The 20,999-nt window shown below is 45.6% G+C and overlaps 1 protein-coding gene across 4 annotated transcripts, besides 3 other annotated features; it reads left to right on the forward strand.

Moving 5' to 3' along the window:
* The first annotated feature begins 2,686 nt into the window (after positions 1-2,686).
* On the forward strand, positions 2,687-20,952 carry ZNF557 (zinc finger protein 557). Of its 4 annotated transcripts, none has more exons than NM_024341.3 (8): positions 2,687-2,757; positions 3,546-3,637; positions 7,980-8,089; positions 8,639-8,727; positions 9,365-9,491; positions 14,344-14,439; positions 14,954-15,036; positions 15,862-20,952. In NM_024341.3, exons 3-8 carry the CDS (start codon positions 8,059-8,061, stop codon positions 16,726-16,728), a joined length of 1,293 nt encoding a protein of 430 aa, NP_077317.2. In that variant the 5' UTR covers positions 2,687-2,757; positions 3,546-3,637; positions 7,980-8,058; the 3' UTR covers positions 16,729-20,952. The 4 variants fall into 4 exon arrangements, with proteins under 4 accessions (NP_077317.2, NP_001037853.1, NP_001037852.1 ...); NM_001044388.2 differs by having other exon boundaries at positions 8,660-8,727; NM_001044387.2 differs by having other exon boundaries at positions 2,687-2,745.
* Positions 11,108-11,308: a silencer, noted in NCBI's record as "peak3311 fragment used in MPRA reporter construct". NCBI's record gives its function as "represses an SCP1 promoter by STARR-seq MPRAs in K562 erythroleukemia cells {active_cell/tissue: K562}" and the evidence as "EXISTENCE:reporter gene assay evidence [ECO:0000049][PMID:32103011]".
* Positions 15,908-16,108: a silencer, noted in NCBI's record as "peak3312 fragment used in MPRA reporter construct". NCBI's record gives its function as "represses an SCP1 promoter by STARR-seq MPRAs in K562 erythroleukemia cells {active_cell/tissue: K562}" and the evidence as "EXISTENCE:reporter gene assay evidence [ECO:0000049][PMID:32103011]".
* Positions 16,068-16,268: a silencer, noted in NCBI's record as "peak3313 fragment used in MPRA reporter construct". NCBI's record gives its function as "represses an SCP1 promoter by STARR-seq MPRAs in K562 erythroleukemia cells {active_cell/tissue: K562}" and the evidence as "EXISTENCE:reporter gene assay evidence [ECO:0000049][PMID:32103011]".
* Positions 20,953-20,999: the final 47 nt, after the last annotated feature.

Consider the following 20,999-nt stretch of genomic DNA (forward strand, 5'->3'; position numbering starts at 1 on the left):
CTTTCACTAATTTTGCCACTGCTATCTAGAAGGCAGAGCCAGGTGTACAGGATGGAACATGAAAGAGGACCAGGAGTGTGACCACTGAAGCACAGCATCACAGGGAGACCGTTAGGCCTCCAGATAACTGCAGGCGAGCCTGATTGATGTCAGGCCCTCCACAAGAGGTGGAGGAGTAGAGTCTTCTCTAAACTCCCCTGGGGAAAGGGAGACTCCCTTGCCCCGTCTGCTAAGTAGCGGGTGTTCTTCCTTGATACTGACACTACCGCTAGACCAAGGTCCGCTTGGCAACAGGCGTCTTCCCAGCCGCTGGCGTTACCGCTAGACCAAGGAGGCCTCTAGTGGCCCTGTCCGGGTATAACAGAAGGCTCGCACTCGTCTTCTGGTCACTTCTTACTATGTCCCCTCAGCTCCTATCTCTGTATGGCCTGGTTTTTCCTAGGTTATGATTGTAGAGTTAGGATTATTATAATATTGGAATAAAGAGTAATTGCTACAAACTAATGATTAATGCTATTCACATATAATCATATCTATGATCTGTATCTAGTATAACTATTCTTATTTTATATATTTTATTATACTGGAACAGCTCATGCCCTCGGTCTCTTGCCTCGGCACCTGGATGGCTTGTTGCCCACAATGAAATATGAAAAATTTAGCACACAGATCACCATATGTTTCCTCATCTATAAATAGTGATAGATAGTAACACCTTCCTTATAGGTCTCTGTGAAAATATTTAGGGATAATGTATGTAAAACTGTTTATTACCAGGCAGGTTGGAAAGTAATGTCCCATTCATTTGTCCACTAGGATGGCCATAGGGTTTTTGGTTTTTTTTCCTTTTAATTCTTGAATTCCAGAGTCTTCAAATACATTCCATTGTTGTAAAGTGAATCATATTCACATTTTTTCCCTAGAGTTTAGCGATTCCTTTTGCATACAAATTCAGGCTGTATGTGTTCACACATAGATCTCAAATAACATCTTAATTTTCACAACGAAAAGCTCCCTTCCTCACCCTGTAGCCTGGCTCCTAGAAGCAACTTTTTTTTTTTTCTGATAGTAATTACATATTTGTAAGTTAGGTATTTATACTGCTTTTTCATTTATCAGCTTTAAACTATATTGAATTACTTTCTTCTCCGAAACAATTAGCACATAACTCTTACGTACTGTAAAACTAATTTTCCTCACCAAACATAATCATTTAAGGAATCTGGATAAATCAAAATTCAATGTTTATCATTTTATGACATCAATATTTACCATTTGTAGCATCTAAACCTTAGCCAGACATGTAACAAGTAGTATGTCATTAATAATTTTTTCTCATTTTTTCTTTTGATCTCTTAAATTTTAAAATTTCCTTTTTTATTTCTTCCTATGAATCCAACACCTATTTTCTCCACCAGAAATGTAGTTCTCTTTTCAGTAGATCCAGATGTGCACTAGACAATTAATCAGCTTTGGCTTTCACTTGGAGACATCCCTCCCTAGTCCTCCCTCCCCTCGTCCCCCTCTGGATGGGAGAAATATGCATACATGATCCCATTTTTGAAAGAAATTAGGAAGCTCAAAATCACACAAAAAGGCTGGGTGTGGTGTGGCTCACACCTGTAATCTCAGCACTTTGGGAGGCCGAAGTGGGGTATGACTTGAGGCCATGAGTTCTAGACCATCCTGGGCAACACAGACCTCCTCTCTACAAACAAATACAAAAATAGTCAGGCTTGGTAGTGTGGGAGGCCCGGGTGGAAGGATGGCTTGAGCTCAGGAGGTCGAGGCTGCAGTGAGCTATGATTGCACCACTGCACTCCAGCCTGGGCCACAGAGTGAGACCCTGTCTCAAAACAAACAAACGAAAAGCCACACACACACACACACACACACACGCCCTAAATGTGTGGCTATATCATTTTAACAGGCGGTGAATGTGGAGAAATGACTGAAGAAAACTTTAAAGAGTTCATTTTGCATCCTGCTACCTGAACAGTTTTAAAATCCACAAAAAGCCCTACACCCAAAAACTGACCTCCACCAAGTCTTGTCCTCTCAGCCTACTAGCTCAACCCCATTCCATGCCCCACCACTGCCTTATCTTGTCCACATACTCGCCCACCAAACCTGGTATTAACCCACAGCAAGATCCGCCCATCAAACCTAATGCCCGCCCACAACCTCGCCCCGGAACTTAGTCTCTGTCCTGACAGCCCCGCCCCCATGCCTGGTACCGCCCACGGTCCCGCCCCAGAACTTCTCCCCACCCCCGGAGCTGATCTCCACCCACACTCAGCCCTGCCTCCAGGCCTGGTACCGCCCACAGCCCCGCTCCAGAGTTGGTCCCCGCCCCCGGAACTGGTCCCCGTCAACACTCAGGCCCGCCTCCAGGCCTGGTACCGCCCACAGCCCCGCTCAAGAGCTAGTTCCGCCCCCAACCCTGCCACAGACCCGCGCCAGGACGACCCTGCCTCCGCGGCTGTCCCTAGCCAGGGCCCAACCTGGTTCTATTAATAACTAAGCAAACTAGAACACCTCAGCCGGAGGCTGGGGTGCGCGGCTGCTGCACCTGCAGCCTGAACCCGGGGGTCCTGACACGCCGCATTTTGGGCTGGGACCAGCTGGAGCCGGAAGCGGAGGTGCAGTGTGGCTAGCCGGAGACCGGAAGCGGAAGCGCGCTTGTGTCTTGTGAGAAGAGCCGCGCTTGCAGCGTCTGGGAGAATCTTTCGGTCTCCGCGAGAGGTGCTTCATTCCGTGAGTCCGAGTCCAGAGAGGGGCCCCAGCCGCGGGCCTGCGTCCCTCCCGGGAGCCGGGTTTCCGCCCCTGAGGCCTCGGGCTGTGCGCTCAGTTAAGCCCGAAGCTGCTGTTTCCTCCGGTGTCCGGGCCCCGCGCCCCTGTCATCCTCACTCTGTCGTCCTCACCCTGTCGCCCTCACCCGGGGCGATTCTGCGCCCCAGGGGACTTTTGGCTATAGTTGGAGACGGTTTGGGATGTCACAAAATGGAGGGTAGGAGGGACTGTGCTACTACTGTAATCTAGAGGGTGGAGGCCAGGGATGCTAGCAGCTCAGCATCCTGCAGCGCGTAAAGCAGCCGCCGCCAGCAAAGACTCATCCAGCCCCAAATGTCATTAGTGCCCAGGTTGGGAAACCCTGCTGGAGGGCATTAAAATCTCTGCAGTCCTGAATACACTGTAGAAATTATTTAGAATTCAGCCGAGTCCACTTATAAGGCCTAAAGTGACGAATTTAAAGCATCTGGAGTCACCATACAATCTCCAGCCAAATGAGTTAAGCAAGTCAGATGAAAACAGCTTTAAGCTTCTTGTCCCATTTTAGGGACCAGATGGCTGGATAGGAATCTGGTGAATTCAGGCACAGCCAGTAGCCTGGGTTCTTATTCTTTAAATCAATTTTTTTTAAGTGAATGGGGTGGTCTTTCTATGCAACAACTGTATTAGTCTCAGTAAATACATTTTACTATACGTACATATTACTCCCTACAAAAGGCCTCATAAGCGATTTTTGTGCCCTTTTTATTTAGACGAAAAAAGTATAATTCAAGCTCAGATTTGTGTTGAAACCAGCCTCAAGTTTCACCTATCCTCACTGATCCGTGGACTTCTGTATGATCAGGTAGGTACCGTGTAGAACCTGCAAGTTGCAAGACTCCACTGTGTAGAAAACCTGTGAATGGATTTTTCCTGTGTTCAGGTTGTAAACACAAGGACTCACTAACAGTGAGGGTATTTTTTTTTTTTTTTTTGAGACAGAGTCTCACTCCGTTGCCCAGCCTGGAGTGCAGTGGTGCGATCTCAGCTCATTGCAACATCTGCCTCCCAGGTTCAAGCAGTTCTCCTGCCTCAGCCTCCCAAGTAGCTGGAATGACAAGGGTGCACCACCACGCCCAGCTAATTTTTGTATTTTTAGTAAAGATGGGGTGTTGCCATGTTGGCCAGGCTGGTCTCGAACTCCTGACTTCAGGTGATCCACCCACCTCGGCCTCCTAAAGTGCTGGGATTACAGGTGTGAGCCACGAGTGAGGGTATCTTAAAAATTATTTGTTTGATGCCTTATATTCAAGAGAAGGATACTAAGGGGTGTGTGATAATGTGTGTCAAAATAAGTCAGTAAATACAGCTATATGCAAATCAGTACACAAAACATGTAAACACTATTTAAAAGTTTTTTTTTCAACCTTCCAAGACATCTCAATTTTTCTTTTATTTTTTTCTTTTCCTAACAGGCCTGCCAGCCTGTAGACTTATGCTGTATAATAAGGTAGCTGCTGGTCCATGCGGTTGTTTTAATTTAAATGTAGACCAATTAAGATTCCATAAAATTTTAAATTCAGCTTCTCAGTCGCACTAACCACATTTCAAGTGCTTGACAGCGACATGTGGTTAATGCCCCTATTGAACAGCAAAGATTAAGATCATTTCCATCATCCCAGAAAGCCCTGCTGGGCGGCATTGTTCTAGTCTCTTCCCATCTGTCCATTGCAATGAAGCCAGAACGGCTATTGTAAAAGATAATTTGTGGCCAGGAGCAGTGGCTCAAGCCTGTCTGTAATCCCAGAACTTTGGGAGGCCGAGGTAGGTGGATCACCTGAGGTCAGGAGTTCAAGACCAGCCTGGCCAACAGGGTGAAACCCCGTCTGTACTAAAAATATATAAATTAGCTGGGTGTGGTGACTCTCTTGAGCCTGGGAGGCGGAGACTGCAGTGAGCCAAGATGGCACCGCTGCACTTCAGCCTGGGCAACAGAGCAAGACTGCATCTCAAAAAAAAAAAAAAAAAAAAAAAAAGCTGGGCATGGTGGCTCACGCCTGTAATCCCAGCACTTCGGGAGGCCAAGGCAGGCAGATCACGAGGTCAGGAGATCGAGACCATCCTGGCTAACGTGGTGAAACCCCGTCTGTACTAAAAATACAAAAAAAAAAAAAAAGATTACCCGGGCGTGGTGGCAGGCGCCTGTAGTCCCAGCTACTCGGGAGGCTGAGGCAAGGGAATGGCATAAACCCGGGAGGTGGAGCTTGCAGTGAGCCGAGATCATGCCAGTGCACTCCAGCCTGGGTGACAGAGCGAGACTCCGTCTCAAAAAAAAAAAAAAAAAAAAAAATACAGCCAGGCACAGTGGCTCACACCTGTAATCCCACCACTTTGGGAGGCTGAGGTGGGCAGATCGCCTGAGGTCAGGAGTTCGAGACCAGCCTGGCCAACATGGCAAAACACTGTCTCTACTAAAAATACAAAAATTAGCTGGGCATGGTGGTGGGCACCTATGATCCCAGCTACTCGGGAGGCTGAGGCAGACAGAATTGCTTGAACCCAGGAGGCGGAGGTTGCAGTGAGCCGAGATCTCACCATTGTACTCCAGCCTGGGTGACAGAGCAAGACTGTCTCAAAATAAATACATAAAGATAAATTTGCTTTAGTCACTCGCCTGCCTGAAAAGCCTTTGCTGGCTCTCCACTGCCTCTCATGTTCAAACTCCTCACCACTCTTTATAATACCTTTCAAAATACAACCTTTCCCGTGCACTCTGGCCCCTTATTTGTCCACATGCTCCAAACTGTGAACTTGGCTTCCTAAGCAGCTTGCTTTCCTGCCTCTGCACGTGCACTTTCCACTGAGCAAGACCCTACCTCGACTCTCAAGACTCAATTCAAATGTTCTTAGTGTTTTTCCTTCCAAGGCTTCCCAGTCCCCTTCTTCCCAGATCCTGGGTTGGATGCCATGTGCCCCTCTGCCATATCACATATCACTCTGAAATGCAGCAGCAGGTCTGTGTGTGTGTCCTGCTCCCAGAAAGCCAGTTCTTAGATGACAGGGATCTTCCTCCCCTCCATCTCCAGCACCCAGCTGGGGGCAGGTATCAATAAAACGTGAATGAGGGGTCAACGTCGGGACCCTAGGGCTGCAGAAGGGATTTGAGAGGAATAACTGGGTGAGGAAATGCTATGCCTGGTTTGGACTTGGGAGGGAAGAGGGGGCGACCCACCAGGGGCTCACCTGTGCAGAGTTCTCTTCTCTACCGTTTGTGCAACACAGCTGCTGGAAGAGCCCACTCACAAACAAGTATAAATACATGGAACTGTAGAGAAATAATACAGATATTTGTTTTTTTGGTTTTTTTTGTTTTTTTTTTTTTGAGATGGAGTCTTACTCTCACCCAGGCTAGAGTGCAGTGGCATGATCTGGTCTCACTGCAACCTCTGCCTCCTGGGTTCAAGCGATTCTCCTGCCTCATCCTCCCAAGTAGCTGGGATTACAGGCACCCACCACCATGCCCAGCTAATTTTTTAAATATATTTTTAGTAGAGACAAGGTTTCACCAACTTGGCCAGGCTGTTCTTGAACTGCTGACCTCAGGTGATCCGCCCACCTCGGCCTCCCAAAGTGCTGGGATTGCAGGCGTGAGCCACTGTGCCTGGCTATAATACAGATTTTCTTGCATGTCATAATACTAAAACTTTCAGGCTTTTACATATAAGTACAAATATATAAACTTTTCACATGTATATGTGAATTTTGGGGGTTCTGTTAACACCACAGAGACCAGATGTCAGAGACACTTGGCAGCTATATTAACTGGAGGGTGGGGGCTGTGAGGCTGCAGGCAGGAATGGGAAAGAGCCTCCCATCTCTGCTTGGCTCCAAGTACCAGCGAACAACTGGCCTGTGGGGAATGGCTCTCCATTCAGTCCTCTCCCAATCCTTCTCTCCCCGGAGATTGGGGGTATGGGGGTCACCCAGGATAAATTCCCTGGGCAAGAGATCTAGAAGGAAGCCAGGGCCTGAATGCTACATCTCAATACAAATTCCTAGAGAGACTGAGTGGCCCTGCCTTCCATGAATAGCCAGCACCGTCCACCCTCTACAGCTCTGTTTTGTCTACCTGGCCCAAACTCTTACAAGTCTCTAACTGCAGACAGCGCCTGCCCCCGCCCCCACCAACCCCTCCCACACACACCCTTGACCACTTTTTTTTTTTTTTTCCAAATGGAGTGTTGCTCTGTTGCCCAGGCTGGAGTGCAATGGTGCAATCCCGGCTCACTACAAGCTCTGCCTCCCAGGTTCACGCCATTCTCCTGCCTCAGCCTCCCAAATAGCTGGGATTCCAGGTGTGTGCCATCACGCCCAGCTAATTTTTTATTTTTATTTTTTTAGTAGAGATGGGGTTTCACCATGTTAGCCAGGATCGTCTCGATCTCCTGACCTCGTGATCCGCCCGCCTCGGCCTCCCAAAGTGCTGGGATTATAGACAGGAGCCACCGCGCCTGGCCAGCCGCTTTCATCTTTGTGTGTATATACACACACACACACACACACACACACAGCCCTTCTTTTCTCATAAAAAAGGAAACATTCCATATATGCTATTTGGTACTTTTTTTTCCCCTTAAATTTACTGACGATAATAACCTCTATTGATATCTAGAGATCTTCTCTCTTTTTTTTTTAATGGGTGCACTGTAATGCCACAGTGAATAATCTTACACAACTTTTACATTTGTGTATCTTACAGATCGATTCTTAGAAGTTGCAGGAACCTAGGGTCTCTGATAGAAAATGGCTGGAGCTCTGCTGGGCTGGCATGAGAGTGGGGAGTGGGGAGGAGGAAATCAACTGAAATGAGGGGTAGTGACATCTGAGCTGGGTGAGGTGGAAACCAGGAGGAGGGGGTGGTCAAGGCAGATCACAGGCTGGAGAGGGGGTGACCGAGGCAGGGCACGGGCTGGAGGGGGGTGACCGAGGCAGGGCACGGACTGGAGGGGGGGTGTGACCGAGGCAGGGCACGGGCTGGAGAGGGGGTGACCGAGGCAGGGCACGGGCAGGAGGGGGGGTGACCGAGGCAGGGCACGGGCAGGAGACGGGGTGACCGAGGCAGGGCACGGGCAGGAGACGGGGTGACCGACGCAGGGCACGGGCTGGAGGGGGTGACCGAGGCAGAGTGTTCCCCCCATTTCTTCCAGGGTGCTGTCCTGAGAGCGCTGCGGGATAAAGGAGGAGCGTCCTGCTTCCCGGCTGCCCTGTTGCTGTCGGAGTCACAGGATGGCGGCTGTCGTCCTGCCCCCAACTGCCGGTGAGTCATGGGGTCCTGGCAGTTCTCAGAGTCCAGGCTTGAAAGGTCCTGACCCACAGCATGGGATGGGAGGGGGTTGGGCAGAGCAGGTGAGGCAGGAGTGGAGCCCCAGGGGCCCAGAGGTCCTCCGTGTCTGATCGGGCGGCTCTTGGGACTTGGGACTTAGGCATTTGGGTGTCTGTGGATGTCACCTGTGTGGTGAATGTGCTGGAGCTTTTGAATTCTCCCTTCAGTTCTTTCTGTGAACCTGATAAAAACACAGTGACGCCCTCGGAACTTCAGTTTCCTCATCTGTGAAGTGGGAATAATCCCTTCCCCAAGTGCAGTCAGACCTTAAGCCCTGTTTCCTGGCGTGGATGCGGCAGGGCCATGCTCTGGTTTCCTTGGATTGCTGTGGGTTGGTGTTTGCTTGGAGTAGAGGTGGATGCTTTGTGGGTGACTGTGTATGCATGGGGACCTGGTCGATCGCAGGCAGGTGGGGAAGCCTCCAGATGTGTGAGTGGACACAGGGCAGGTGTGGATTCCTGGTACTCATTTCTCCTCCTCCAGCTCTGTCTTCCCTGTTCCCAGCCTCTCAGCGAGAAGGACACACAGAGGGCGGAGAGCTGGTTAATGAGCTCCTGAAAAGCTGGCTAAAGGTGAGTCGGATGTTCCTTTTTCCAAATCATGATTCCTTCAGCCAGAAGGTTGGACTTGATGCCTTTCAGTGGCCTGGAGCCCCACGGCCAAACTTGTTCCTCAGGCATCCCAGGGTCTCTGAGTGAGGGCTGCCCAGAAAATGTCAGTGTGTGTCAACGTTTACTGCAGGTTCAGAGCTCCCTCCAGAGTCCCTGAGTACATCATGTGCTCCTGAGAGTTTTAAGGGAAAGCCAAGTAAAGACGTGATGATGTTCTAAACCCAAGCAATTAATAAAGGCCATACGGAAATCATTCATTCACTTACCAAGTATTTCTCTGATTTCTGCCATGTCACGGGCCCATGATCCCCTGGAGACTGAGGGAAATAAGATCATAGGAGCTCCCAGTTTGAGTGAGAAAAGACAGCTGCTCTGCGGTACTGTGCGCTGGACCTGGGAGTAGCCTAAGGAGACAAGCATTGAGGGCTGAGCTCAGAAGCCAGGGAGAAGAGCTCAGAACCTCAGGAGAGGAGCTCAGAATCCCCCCACATCTCGTGCTCAGGTTTCCCCAGCCCTGGCTCTGTTCTCCTGGCCCCTCTTCCTGTGCACATTGGTGGGGGTGGTCCTTGGCTAAGCCGTGATGTTTGCAATGCTTTAGGGCTTGGTGACCTTTGAGGATGTGGCCGTGGAGTTCACCCAGGAGGAGTGGGCATTGCTGGACCCTGCCCAAAGGACACTGTACAGGGACGTGATGCTGGAGAACTGCAGGAACCTGGCCTCACTGGGTAAGCCTAATGTCATTCCTGCATTTATTTAATGACTCAGGAAGTCAGTCTTTTTTTTCTTTTTTTAAATTGAGGTAACACAGGACACAAAAGTCACCATTTAAACTATTTTAAAGTGTCCAATTTGGTGGCTTTTCGTAGGTTCACAGTGTAGTACAGCCATCACCACTAATTCCAGAACATAGTTGTCACACCAAAAATAAGCCCCATAGTCATGAAATGGTCTCTCCCCAGTTCTCCCTCCTGAACATCTTGGCAGGCACTAATCTTTCCGTCTCTATAGATGTGTCTCTTCTTTTTGAGGGGGTTGTTTTTAGACAGTGTCTCCCTCCGTCACCCAGGCTATAGTGCAGTGGCGTGATCCTGAGTAGCTGGGACCACAGGTGCGGACCACCACGCCCAGCTAATTTGTTTATTTTTTGTAGAGACAGGGTCTTGCTATGTTGCCCTGGCTGGTCTCAAACTCTTGGGCTCAGGTGATCCTCCTGCCTTAGCTTCCCAAAGTGCTGGGATTACAGATGTGAGCTACCATTCCTGGCCCAATTCTTGACATTTTATATAAATGAAATCATACAAAATGTGGTCTTTTGTGTCTCACTTTTTGCTTAGCATAATGTTTTCTTTCTTTTTTTTTTTTTTTTTTTTTGAGATGGAGTTTCACTCTGTTACCCAGGCTGGAGTGCAGTGGTGTGATCTCAGCTTACTGCAGCCTCCACCTTCCAGGTTCAATCTGTTCTCCTGCCTCAGCCTCCTCAACAGCTGGGACTAAAGGCATGCGCCACCACACTCAGCAAATTTTTGTGTTTTTAATAGAGATGGGGTTTCACCATGTTGGCCAGGCTGGTCTTGAACTCCTGGCCTCAAGTGATCCACCCACCTCAGCCTCCCAAATTGCTGGGATTACAGGGATGAGCCACCACGCCTGGCCGATGTTTTCAAAGTACAGCTGTGTTGTAGCACATAGCAGAACTTCATTCTTTTTATGGTTGAATATTATTCCGTTATGTGTATATACCACTTTTTATATATCATTTCATCAGCTGATGGAAATTTAGCCTGTTCTCATCTTTTGGCTATTGTGGGTAGTGCTGCTATGATCATTCATATACAAGATTTTGCTTGAGCACCTGTTTTCTCTTGGGTATATACCTAGGAGTGGAACTTCTGTGTCCTGTGGTAATTCTGTGTTTAATGTGTTGAGGAATGTCCAAACTTTTCTACAACTGCTACACCATTTTACATTCCTACCAGCAGTGCATGAGACCAGCAACGTATTAGTTTCTCTGCATCCTTACCAACATTTGTCTCTTTTCCTTTTTTTAAAAAATTATGATAGCCATTCTTGTGGTTGTCTGTCTCATTGTGGTTTTTATTTCTATTCCCTAAAAAAAATGATGAGATTGGCCATCTTTTCTTGTGCTTGTTGGCCATTTATACATCTTTTTTGAAGAAATGTTCATTCAAGTGCTTTTTCCATTTGGGGGGCATTGTTTGCCTTTTCGTTATTGAGTTGTAAGAGTTCTTTATATGTTCTGCATCCTAGACCTTTATCAAATATATCATTTTCAAAGATTTCCTCCCATTCAGTGGATTGCCTTTTTACTATCTTGAATGATAGTTTTGCAGGAGATAGAATTCTTGGTTGATATTTTTCTTTCAGTACTTGGAGTATGTCATCATCCCACTGGCTTGCGGCCTCCATGGTTTCTGGTGACAAATCAGCTGTTAATCTTGTACATGATGACTTATTTCTCCCTTGCCATTTTTCAGGATAGTCTGTCTTTGGCTTTTGACAGTTTAATGTTAAGGTATCTCAGTATGAGTTTTTAAGTGTATCCTATTGGGAGATCCTTGAGCTGCTTTGATGTGTAGACTTGTAATTTTCATCAAATTTGGGAAAGTTTGGCCATTATTTTTACATATATTCCTTTTTTTTTTTTTTTCCCGGAGTCTCACTCTGTCGCCCAGGCTGGAGTGCACTGGCACGATCTCAGCTCACTGCAACCTCTGCCTCCTGGGTTCAAGCAATTCTCCCTGCCTCAGCCTCCTCAGTAGCTAGGATTACAAACGCGCACCACCACAGCTAGCTAATTTTTGTATTTTTAGTAGAGACAGGGTTTCACCATGTTGGCTAGGCTGGTCTCGAACTCCTGACCTCAGGTGATCCTCCCACCTCGGCTTCCCAAAGTGCTGTAATTAGAGCGTGACCCATTGCACCTTGCCAATTTTTCCATATATTCCTTCTGCTCCTTTCTCTGTCTCCTCTCCAGTAGCAACTCCCATTATGTGTATTCAGATGTTTGATGGTATCTTCTGGGTTTCTTAGGCTCTGTTCATTTTTTTCCCTTTATTTTTAATTTCTGCTCTACAGATCAGGCAATCTTAATTGACCTGTCATCAAGTTCACTAATTGTGTCTTCTGCCTGATCAAGTCTTCTGATGAACCCCTCTAGTACATTTTTCATTTCAGATAATATATATTTTTCAATTTTAAAATTCCTATTTGGCTCCTTTTTATAATTTCCATCTCTTTATGATTTTCTCTATTTGGTGAGAATTCATTCTCATGGTTTCCATTAGTTCTTTGTACACAGTTTCCATTAACTCCTTGAGCATATTTGAAATAGTTGATTTGAAGTCGTTGCCTAATAAATCCAATGACTAGGTTTCCTTATGGAAAATTTCTGTTCATTTCTTTTTTCCTATAATGCAGTTTCATTCATTTTTTGTTTCTTTTTTTTTTTTTTTTTTTGAGATGGAGTCTCACTCTGTCACCCAGGCTGGAGTGCAGTGGTGCAATCTTGGCTAACTGCAAGCTCTGCCTCCCAGGTTCACGCCATTCTCCTGCCTCAGCCTCCCGAGTAGCTGGGACTACAGGCGCCCACCACCACGCCTCGCTAATTTTTTATATATTTAGTAGAGACAGGGTTCACCGTGTTAGCCAGGATGATCTCGATCTCCTGACCTTGTGATCCGCCCACCTTGGCCTCCCAAAGTGCTGGGATTACAGCCATGAGCCACCGCGCCCGGCCCATTTTTTTGTTTCTTTACATGCCTCATAATTTATTTGCTGAAAACTACTTTCAGAATATTACAATATGGCAGTTCTTTAAATCTGATTTCCCCCCTCCCCAAGGTTTGTTGTAGTTGGTATTGTTTCTTTGTTTAGTGACATTTCTGAACTAATTTTGTAACGTCTGTATTGGTCATGTGTGGCCACTGAAGTCTCTGTTCTGTTAGCTTAGTGTTCAGCTTGGGATTAATTTGTCAGAGATTTTTTTAAATACCTGGAACCCAAAAGATGACCAGTCTTTGCCAATGGATCTGAATTACATGTTGGAGCATGCCTTCAAAACTCAGCTAAAGCATCTTACAACTCTGACTTAGCCTTCAGTTCCTTCTTATGCAGAGCCTGAAGGTCAGTCAAAGGTGAGGGCTTGGTGCCTTCTCAGATCTTCTCTGAGCATGTGTTCATCCCTGGGTATGAGCATGGCCTTCTAGAAATGTGTGGAGGCCGGGCGCAGTGGCTCATGCCTGTAATCCCAGCACTTTGGGAGGCTGAGGTGGGCGGATCACCTGAGGTCAGGAGTTGGAGACCAGCCTGGCCAAGATGGTGAAACCACATCTTTACTAAAAATACAAAAAAATCAGCCAGGCGTGGTGGCAAATGCTTGTAATCCCAGCTACTTGGGAGGCTGAGGCAGGAGAATTGCTTGAACCCAGGAGGTGGAGGTTGCAGTGAGCCGAGATCACACCACTGCACTCTAGCCTGGGCGACAGAGCAAGACTCCATCTTGTGGGGGAAAAGAAGGTGTGGAAAGATGCTCTACTCCTCAGAGCATCTTGTTCCCAACTTCTCCTCCCAGGTTTTTTGGTTAGTCTTTTGTTTGCTTCACAGTTTTCCCTTGCCCCATTGAGCAGTGGCTGATTTGCCTTTAGATGTGTTGGGACACACTTCCCTCTCCACCCTCCAGCTTCCATAGGTGTAGCCTCTTCAGACCTGGGAGAGTTTGGAGTTACACAAATAAAGGGAAGCCCTTTGATCCAGCCCATCAGGGAGCCAGCAGACAGGTCAGAAGAGAACAGCCACAGGTTTTTGAGAATAAGGTGCATTCTGTTCCCTTCAGCACTAGAAACACAGGTTGTTGTCCTCAAGGCAAAATGGGGAATAGAGTGTGCAGCTAGAGTCAGTTAAAATGTCACAAATCTCTCTTACCCAGATTCAGCTGTTTGTCTTGATTAGGCATTCTCCTGTGGCTGTAAACTTTTGATGACATTCAAGAGCTCCAATGAAGTTGATTCTGTGTTTGCCCATTTACATACTGTTTTTGTGAAGGGATGGAGTTGTGGAGTTCCCTACTCCACTACCTTCACTGACATTACTTCGTTTAAGTCCTTCATAAGCACCTCTGTTCCTAGGTCTGTGCTGGGATGTGGGAGTAGTGAAGAATGCAACAGACATGCCCCCCACCCTCATGGAGCTGTCTGTCTAATGCTATCTGTATGAAATGAAGATCTCCTTCTTTCCCTGACTATATATTCTCTGTAGTTAAATCTTTTGGGCTTTCAGATTCTGTATTTAAACCTGGACAGGGGCTCCTGGGACCAGTTATCCTGCAACCACCCTAGATATTGCTTGTGGGGTGTGTGTGTGTGTGTGTGTGTGTGTGTGTGTGTGTGTGTGTGTGTGTGTGAGTGTTTAAGACGGTTGCTATATTTATTCAATTTTGGCATAATTATTTCTCTGCTCCTGAAGTCACACCTCTTCACCTTCAGAACTGATTTCAGTTTCATGGGAGAGCTTGTCTGCTGCACAGTCCCCCTACATCATGTGTCTTTTCTCCATGTACAGGGAACCAAGTTGATAAACCTAGGCTGATCTCCCAGCTGGAGCAAGAAGATAAAGTGATGACAGAAGAGAGAGGAATTCTCTCAGGTACCTGTCCAGGTGAGCACCAGGTGGATATAAGTCCTTGTGAGGAACAGCTCTGGCCAGGGACTGAGAAGTTGGGAGTATTATAATACATTAGGAAATATCAGTCAGAGAACTGTGTAAATGCCCCTTTTCCCAAGAAGGCCAAGAACGTTTGGTCTGAGCCCCCTCATGTACCTTCATGACTTCCAACTTTCTGTCATCTCATACTTTACTTGGGCCTCAGGGGAGAAAAAAAGACATCTCTTTTTCTGAAATTTAAGTCTCCTATGAGCTCTTTGATCAGTTTCAGTCCACCTTGCCTTCCTGACAATTCCTTCATTCTGTCAACATCAATCTCAATCTTCCTAGAGTCTTTCTTAAACATTGCCTAAAATTTTCACACCCATATCTCTTTCACCGAATGCCTTCTCAAAAACCCTCACCTCTCAGATTCTGCCTTCACTCACGTATGCATTTTACTATTTCACCATCAACTTAAAATTTGCCTCTTTTCTATCAACTTAAATTTCTTTTTAACTTGTTTCAGATGTGGAGAATCCATTTAAAGCCAAAGGGTTAACTCCTAAGCTGCATGTTTTTCGAAAAGAACAATCTAGAAATATGAAAATGGTAAGACTAACATGGGTGATTCCTGGTTTTTTTCATGGTAGAATGCCCTACATGAGAAAAGCCACAAGGACTGGCCTTGTTGGCCAGGCACAGTGGCTCATGCCTTTAATCCCAGCACCTTGGGAAGCTGAGGCAGTTGGATCATGAGGTCAGGTCAGGAGTTGGAGACCAGCCTGGCCAATACGGTGAAACCCCATCTCTACTAAAAATACAAAAAAAACTTAGCTGGGTGTGGTGATGCGCACCTGTAATCCCAAATACTTGGGAAGCTGAAACAGAAGAATCACTTGAACCCTGGAGGTGGAGCTTGCAGTGAGCCGAGATTGTGCCACTGCACTCCAGCCTGGCGACAGAGCAAGACTCTGTCTCAAAAAAAAAAAAAAAAAAAGTGGCTTTATTAAATAGTTATTAAAGGAAAGTGTCATTTTTTTCAAAGATAAAGTAGTACCTCTGGAGAGATACTGTGAAATTATTTTGAATTTGGAGAAAAGCATTAGTTAGCCCCAAACTTGTTTTTCCTGAGAATTCCCACAAGTAAATATTTCCAGTAGTCTGAGTCAGATATTGGATATTTGAAAAAGAAATTAGCCTTAAATTTATCAAAAATACTCTGTGAATATGATAAAGATTTGTAGAAAGAATCCATCTTCTTTAAATGCTAAGAATTCAAACTGACAGAAGCCATGTACCAGCACTCATGATGGCAAAAACATTAATTCCAATACTATGATACACAACAGAATTCCTGGGAGAGGAAATTCCTCTGACAGCATTCAATGTTAAAAATATTATAAATGGTACTTATTGTCATCTCTTAATCAATAGGAGAGGAATCATCTTGGAGCAACACTCAACGAATGTAATCAGTGTTTTAAAGTCTTCAGCACAAAATCTTCCCTTACACGGCACAGGAAGATTCATACTGGAGAAAGACCCTATGGCTGCAGTGAATGTGGGAAATCCTACAGCAGTAGATCTTACCTTGCTGTTCATAAGAGAATCCACAATGGGGAGAAACCCTATGAATGCAATGACTGTGGGAAAACCTTCAGCAGCAGATCTTACCTTACTGTTCATAAGAGAATCCACAATGGGGAGAAACCCTACGAATGCAGTGACTGTGGGAAAACCTTCAGCAATTCCTCATACCTCAGACCGCACTTGAGAATTCACACTGGAGAAAAACCGTACAAATGTAACCAGTGTTTTCGTGAGTTCCGCACTCAGTCAATCTTCACAAGGCACAAGAGAGTTCATACGGGGGAGGGTCATTATGTATGTAATCAGTGTGGAAAGGCTTTCGGCACGAGGTCATCTCTTTCTTCGCACTATAGCATTCATACAGGGGAGTACCCTTACGAATGCCACGATTGTGGGAGAACCTTCAGGAGGAGGTCGAATCTGACACAGCACATAAGAACTCATACTGGAGAAAAACCCTACACATGTAATGAGTGTGGGAAATCCTTTACCAATAGCTTTTCTCTTACAATTCACAGGAGAATACATAATGGAGAGAAATCCTATGAGTGCAGTGATTGTGGAAAATCCTTTAATGTTCTCTCATCCGTTAAGAAACACATGAGAACTCACACTGGAAAAAAACCCTATGAATGTAATTATTGCGGGAAATCCTTCACAAGTAACTCCTACCTTTCTGTGCATACGAGAATGCATAATAGGCAAATGTGAATTCAATAACTGTGGGAAAAGCATTCATTGATCTTTCATGCCTCAGATAACATGAGCAAACTCTAACAAGATGTATGAATCACCTGCTACTGTGTAACAAATTACCCCCCAAAATTTTGTGGCTTCAAACAAAAACACTTGTTATCTCAAAATTTTTGTAGGTCAGGAATTCAGAAACAACATAGCTCTATAGTTCTTCAGGATATCTCAAGAGGTTACAGTCCAGATGTCAGCAGAACTGTAATCATCCAGAATTGTTACTGGTGAAGGGACCACTTCCAAATGGCTTACAAGCCCGACAAGTGCATGCTAGCTGTTTCCAAGGGAGCTGCGCTTCCAAATCACGTAGGCCTCTCAACAGGGCTGAGTTTCTTTATGGAAGCAACTTCTCCCCAAAGCCAGTGATCTAAAGGAGCCAACACAGAAAGCATAATGTCTTTTATGACCTAGCTTCAGTGAGATATGTTTTCATGTCCCTGTTACATTGGTCATACACACCAATCCTGATACAATGTGGAAGAACACCACAGGAGGTATGAACAGTAGACATTTGGAACCATCTGGAAAACTTGCCATGAAATCAGTGGAGGAAAGCCTTCAGCTGACCCTCATTTTTTTTTTTTTAAGACAATGTCTCACTCTGTCACCCAGTCTGGAGCGCAGTGGTGTGATCACAGCTCACTGCAGCCTCTACTTCCTGGGATCAAGTAATTCTCCTGCCCCAGCCTCCAATGTAGCTGGGACTACAGGTGCATGACACCATGTCTGGCTAATTTGTTTTTTTTTAAACTAGAGGGAGGGTTTTGCCATGTTGCCCAGACTAGTCTCAAACTCCTAGGTTCAAGCAGTCCTTTCATCTTGGCCTCCAGAAGTACTGGGATTACAGGCATGAACCACCATGCCCAGCCAACTTCTAAACTGATCAATATGGGAGTAGCATTCAATCACCCACAGGTTAACTCACTCTAGAGAGAAATCTTGTGAGTGTAATCTGTATGGTAAAACTTTGAGCTCAAACTTTCCCCCTACCAAAAAAAAAGTATCTACTGGGGAGCTGCCCAGGTAATGCAGTAGCTGTAGGAAAGCCTTCAGTGATGGCTTCAGGGAGTCACATGACAACTCACAATAAGGGGAAACCCTGTGTGTGGCATCAAAAATGGAAAACCAGGGGACACTCATTCCTTAAGTCACATTTCGGAGATCATACAACAGAGGAATATGTTGAGTATACACAGTGTTGAAAAGCCTGTGACACAAACAGTCATATTACCAAGCACAAGACAGTATAGTTTGGTATGCTATAAAAGCCTTGAATATTCTCTCCATTTTTAAGAAGTGAGATTCATACTAGAAAAACCATTGAATTCCATCAGTATTAGAATGTCATTTTTCCACATTTTTAGGAACCTAACTCAGTGTAAGATAACAATTTATACAATTTATTTTTTGAGACAGGGTTTCATCTGTGCCCAGGCTGTAGTGCAGTGGTGCAATCTTGGCTTATTGTAACCTCTGCCTCCCAGGCTTAAGGGATCCTCCCACCTCAGCCTCCCAAGTAGCTGGGACTGTAGGCATGCACCACCATGCCTGTCTAGTTTTTGTAAAGATGGGGATTCACCATGTTTCCCAGGCTGCTCTCAAACTCCTGGGCTCAAGTGATCCACCTGCCTCAGCCTCCCAAAATGCTGGGAATACAGGAACGAGCTACCACTCTCAGCCAGAACTTCTTAAGATAAAGGATGAGGGAATGTTTTCAGTGATACCTCTTATATTAGGAAAAATATGTAAATGTTCCTTGGATGCAATACTCACGAGTGTATTAATTTCAGAAAAATTTTCAGTGATTCCTCCCTTTATGCATGAGAGAATTCATTTAGAGGAAGCCCTAGGAACGTAATCAATGTTAGGATGCCTCATCTCTTAACTGAGTGGCCACGCAGTAACTTAGAACAAAAGGTGTAAGTGCTATGAATGTGGAATTACCTTCATCAATGTCTCATTTGTAGGTTGGGCCACTAGCTCGTTCATTTTCAGTCTTTTAATATAAACATTTATGGCTATAGTGGTCCTGAAAATCTTACTACCTCGTTTTATATACAGTGTATTTATTATAATTCTAAAACATCAATACACCAAATATTCAGAAAGGTATTTCCAAACAGCTCCTGAGTGATCTAGTTTGTTATAATAGAAATTAGACATTTGCCAGGTGTGGTGGCTCACACCTATAAACCTAGCATTTTGGGAGGCTGAGGCGGGCAGATCACCGGAGGTAAGGAGCTTGAGACCAGCCTGGCCAACATGGTGAAACCCCGCTTCTACTAAAAAATACAAAAATTAGCCGGGTGTGGTGGCAGGCATCTATAATCCCAGCTACTCAAGAGGCTGAGGAAGGAGAATCACTTGAACCCGGGAAATGGAGGTTGCAGTGAGCCAAGATCATGCCACTTCACTCCAGCCTGGGCAAAAGAGTGCAACTCTGTCTCAAAAAAAAAAAAATCAGACAATATTTGATATATTTTTTTCTAATTTAATAGTATTTTGCCAGAGTACATGGACTTTGTGATTTTGGTTGTTTTCTCTTTGTGTCCTAATATAGCAAATACTGTTTCTTTTTTTTTTTTTTTTTTTTTTTGAGACGGAGTCTTGCTCTGTTGTCCAGGCTAGAATGCAGTGGCGCGATTGTGGCTCACTGCAAGCTCTGCCTCCCAGATTCACGCCATCCTCCTGCCTCAGCCTCCCGAGTAGCTGGGACTACAGGTGCCCATCACCATGCCCGGCTAATTTTTCATATTTTTAGTAGAAATGGGGTTTCACTGTGTTAGCCAGTATGGTCTCAATCTCCTGACCTCGTGATCCACCTGCCTCGGCCTCCCAAAGCACTGGGATTACAGGCGTGAGCCACCATGCCCGGCACAAATACTGTTTCTTAATGTTCATTCTCCCTACTTAAAGAAAAAGATAAGTTGTCAATGAGCAGTATTGAAAATGTACAGTGGGGCCAGGCGCCATGGCTCATGCCTGTAATCCCAGCACTTTGGGAGGCCGAGGCAGGCGGACCACCTGAGGTCAGGAGTTCAAGACTAGCTTGGCCAACGTGGTGAAACCTCGTCTCTACTAAAAAAAATACAAAAATTAGCTGGGCGTGATGACAGGTGCCTGTAATCCCAGCTACTTGGGAGGCTGAGGCAGGAGAATCGCTTGAGCCTGGGAAGCGGAGGTTGCAGTGAGCCGAGATTGCACAACCACACTCCAGCTTGGGCGACAGAGTGAGACTCCATCTCAAAAAAAGATGTACAGTGTACTAGGCTTTCCTGAAGCTTAGACAGGCTTTATCCCACTCTGCTGGCTAAAAGAAGTAGGAATAACGCACTGGGTGAGACACCGTCTGGCTTATTCTCATCTATTTTCTTTTCATTCTTTTGGAAAGTGGACACAAAGCATAGAGTTAAAAGAGCTTTTTTTTTTTTTTTTTTTTTTTTCTTCACTGTGGTGATAAAAACCACAGTGCAGGGGCTGGGCGTGGTGGCTCACGCCTGTAATCCCACCACTTTGGGAGGCCAAGGCAGGCGGATCACCTGAGGTGGGGAGTTCGAGACCAGCCTGATCAACATGGAGAAAACCTGTCTCTCCTAAAAATACAAAATTAACCGAGCATGTTGGCGCATGCCTGTAATCTCAGCTACTTGGAAGGCTGAGGCAGGAGAATTGCTTCAAACTGGGCAGAGGTTGCAGTGAGCCAAGGTTGACCCACTGCACTCCAGCCTGGGCAACAAGAGCAAAACTCCATCTCAAAAAAAAAAAAAAAGAAAGAAACAGTGCCGAAAAATCACAATGATTTGAGTTCTTCAAAAACCTTTGATTGGCTGCATTGGCTCTGTTCTGCATATTACTAGACTTCTTACATGATCACAAGTAACCACTAATTGGTTAAAACCAAAGAGAGAGAGAGAGAGAGTGTGTGTGTGTGTGTGTGTGTTTGGTTGGGGGGTGTTGTGTTAGCTTCCAGGTGAATGCATTATCTGTTAATCCTGTTTATTGATCTGTTTTTATAAGTGCTCCATGATTCTCTGAAAACAGTATACTATGTATCTAATTTTTGGATACAGGATGGACATACGTACTCAAACTGTGTTTTTCAATTTGTACTGTATTTGTTTCTCTCGACCTGACTTAGTGATAGAGGTATATTAAAGTCTTCCACTAGCATGGTAGATTAACAAATTCTTTCTGTAATTCTGTCATTTTTACTTTATATATGTTTATGTGTA

This window comes from Homo sapiens, chromosome 19, assembly GCF_000001405.40.
Source record: "Homo sapiens chromosome 19, GRCh38.p14 Primary Assembly".
In the NCBI taxonomy this organism is placed as follows: Eukaryota; Metazoa; Chordata; class Mammalia; order Primates; family Hominidae; genus Homo; species Homo sapiens.

Excerpts from the sequence above, each read along its gene's own strand:
- ZNF557 (NM_024341.3), top strand. The coding sequence starts at position 8,059 with ATGGCGGCTGTCGTCCTGCCCCCAACTGCCG. Across the intron at positions 9,492-14,343 it reads CAGGAACCTGGCCTCACTGG|GGAACCAAGTTGATAAACCT; the intron begins GTAAGCCTAATG and ends CTCCATGTACAG. Across the intron at positions 15,037-15,861 it reads AATCTAGAAATATGAAAATG|GAGAGGAATCATCTTGGAGC; the intron begins GTAAGACTAACA and ends CTTAATCAATAG.